Here is a 3,446-nt window from a genome sequence, read left to right on the forward strand (position 1 = left end):
TGATTCAGCACATGAATTACATGTTCTTATATTAACATTTAGAAAGGACATTATACAATATAAAGGTAAATGGTGAAATTCATGCCCATAATTTAAAATTTCAGTTTTTTGTTTTTACTTATGACATCAAATAGCAATAAAAAACCTACAATGACAAGTTGAGAGGAAGAAAGGAAAAATGTTTGTATTTTAGTTCCTTTGACCCACTTTTTTTCCTGCTTTTGGAACAGGAAGTTCACGTTTTCATTTTACACTGGGTCTCCTGATTCCGTAGCCGCCCTGTCCTGAAGGTGCCCCTTGAGAAGAAGGCAACTGAGCGGGACTGGGGATTGTTCGTTGACTTTTTCTGTCTCTTTTGTGCTTCTTCATGTGGCTCCCACCCAGGACTGATGCTCGCCTTTTAAAACTCGCAGTCCAGTCATTTAATAATTGACCTCGGTTGAGGACAGAAGCCACAGGGTTCCTATTTTAATCAAATCCTCAAGCCAGTCACAGTGACTGCACAGAGCTAAATGCTATAGAATTATTTTCCTCATCACTGAATTCCTTTTAGAGTTGTACCTTCAGAACAAAGAAAGAAAGAGGATCATTTGGTTATCAAAGGGAGCCAGCCCCCCAATTTATTTTCCTTCAGCTGTCATGCAAATTTCAAGCGGAGCCCTAGCAGGATGGCTTTGAAGATAAAGATCACAGTGCCGTCCGAGGGAGGCTTCAATAGGGTTTCTGATGATCCTCTGATTTACTTGGAGAAGGAAGAAAAGAGCAGACAACAATAGGAAGAACTCAGCTCTGAAGACATAAAAGCCAGTGTCTAATTCTGGTCCTCTCTTTGCCTGGAGGAAATGTCAGTTAATAGTGAGAGGGTCAGACAGGGCTAGTCTAGGATTTCCCCAAATGTGTTCCATGAGATGCCAATTGAGGTTCCTAAGACGGGGAGAAAAAAAGTTTGTTCTTAAGTGAATTTTTGGTAAGTGTTGAGTCAAACCAAGTACTTCGCAGAGTTGTTGGAGCCTTACATTTAGTAAACAGTAGGTCCAATGCATATAAAAGATGCAGTGTTTTTCTTGCAACCAATTTGACTGGTGGTTGTTACATCAGTAGTTTCTTGTTTCCTGTTGGGACTCAGAAAAATAATTAAAAATAATTCAGTAGCTTCCAATAACTAGGAGGTGAGGACAGGCCTTTACTCTCAAACATGGCCATCAATTAGTGGTTTCCAGTGCAAAATGCACCACATTTCCAGATACTTGCTAATAACCATTTGTCAGCAGACACAAAGACAGTGATATGGGCTGAGCAGTGAGCTCTCTGTACTTTCAGATGTTCTGCTTGCATTGCATGGGAAAGATTTCTTGAGGCCGATAGGACAATATTCTGGCAGTAACATTCAGCTGAGTTTCCAGCTGGAGGTGGAGGAGTTCAAATGAAGACCAGTTGGGAATTCTAAGCTTGTGAGGGCACCATTTTGCAAGTGAAGGTACTTGCTGGGGCCCGCAGGAGCTGTACTCCGTAATCCCCCAAAGAATGGGAATGTCCACAGTGTTTCTAGCTATTCCATTTATCCTTGCATACCCTTTATTCACCAAGAGCGCACTTCTAAAACCCACTTTTTCATTAACAAACTTCTGGTGTTGACAAGGAATAAAAATAGCAGAAGCCACTTCTGGAGTAAGGAGTTTTGATTCCTGTGTTTCGTTTGAGTTTTTCTTTTACCAAATGCCAACTCACAACTCCTGGAATGTAAATTTCCAATTAGTGTCTTTGTCGTCTTTGCTATTTTAAACTAAATTGTAGATCCTAGAATAGTTTTTGAAACATTGGAGAATTCTTTTCCTTGAAATATCTTTTAGGGTTGAGATTCCAAGGACGCCACTTTAGGAACTGTTGTGTGGGAGGAAAGACTTGTGCTCTGAGAGACCTCTCAGTTATAATGTGGTTGTGTTACATTGATCGTTGATTGTTTTCTCAGCTTGGTAGTGATAATAACTTTTTAAATGCCTTTCAAGGAGCTATAGGGGAGAAAAAAAATCTTTCTTCACTTATCACTAGGCTTATGGCTCAGACCCCTATGACAAAAGACAGATTAGCAAGAGAAAAGCATAATAAATATATTTAATAGAAACGTTCCCTGACATGGGAAACTTGATTAATAAAAACTCACAGACCCAGGGAAAACTATTTTTACAGATAGTAAGAAGTATGAATGGAGGACAAAAGGGTGTGATCCAATAGTAATAAACTCAGGGGAGCTTAGCAAGGCCTGTTTGTTCCAATTCTTCTTGGTTTCCCTGTGTGATGTTCCTTCCCTCTGGGTATAGGGCAGGACATCTGTCACAAGAGGATTTTCAGGGCAGAAGAGAAGGAGAAGGTAGAGACTGACCTTCCTGGATTTTATGGCCCTCAGAGAAGAAGGGACAAGGGGAATGTTAGTTTCTATGGCCTGCTTTAGGGTAGAAAGTGACAAGAGAAGGTCAGAGAGATCTTTCTGCTTCTGTTCTTTTTTCAATATCCAAGGTGCCAGATTTTGGGGTTACCATTTTGTACACCCCACTAGTACTATAAGAAAGAGTCATGGCTGGGCGCGATGGCTCACGCCTGTAATCCCAGCACTCTGGGAGGCCGAGGCAGGCAGATCATGAGGTCAGGAGATCGAGACCATCTTGGCCAACATGGCAAAACCTTGTCTCTACTAAAAATATGAAAATTAGCTGGGCTTGGTGGCACATGCCTGTAGTCCCAGCTACTCGGGTGGTGGAGACAGGAGAATCGCTTGAACCTGGGAGGGAGAGGTTGCAGTGAGCTGAGATGGCACCACTGCACTCCAGCCTGGCGACAGAGCGAGACTCCGACACAGCAAGAGTCAGAATTGGAAAAATTCCATAGGTAGCTGGAATGCAGGGTATCTGATCCAATATCATCATCTGTAAAATGATAGCTACTATTCTATCTCAGAGGCTAGTTAAGATCAAATGAAGTTATCTGTATGGAAATTCTTTGGCAATTGTAAGATGATCAGGTGTGAGGTGCTTTTATGGTTCGTTCCAAATCAAATGCCTCTCCTCATCATGTCATGCAGACTGAAATGAAAGAGTATGTATAAAATAAAAGATGCTCATGGTCTTATACGTAAAGACACCCATAAATTCCATGTTGTAGGGGAGGGACAAAGGGAATTAGTACTTACTGAGAAGGCGCTTTGTTCCAGAGATTTTTTTTTTTTAATAATCCTACTTGATGCTCATGTACGCGTGAGTATTTTATTTTCAGAGGAGGAAATTGAGAGAGGGGGGAAGCACTCAAATTTTGATAGCCAGGAAGTAGGAATGGTCTTGAATTGAGCCAGTCAGAATTCTAAAACTGGCACTATTTCTACCACACTGTGAAATCTCGTTATTCTACTTGGCCTTGGTGTTCCTTGCTGTACAATGGGGCAATTCTGGCTACTC

The 3,446-nt window shown here is 41.4% G+C and overlaps 1 annotated feature.

Annotated features, from left to right (window-relative positions):
* Positions 338 to 842: an enhancer, noted in NCBI's record as "OCT4-NANOG-H3K27ac hESC enhancer chr20:53278465-53278969 (GRCh37/hg19 assembly coordinates)". NCBI's record gives its function as "activates a minimal SCP1, AML or CMV promoter by ChIP-STARR-seq in naive H9 embryonic stem cells {active_cell/tissue: H9 hESC(naive)}" and the evidence as "EXISTENCE:reporter gene assay evidence [ECO:0000049][PMID:30033119]".

The sequence above is a fragment of the Homo sapiens genome, chromosome 20 (genome assembly GCF_000001405.40).
Source record: "Homo sapiens chromosome 20, GRCh38.p14 Primary Assembly".
NCBI lineage: Eukaryota > Metazoa > Chordata > Mammalia > Primates > Hominidae > Homo > Homo sapiens.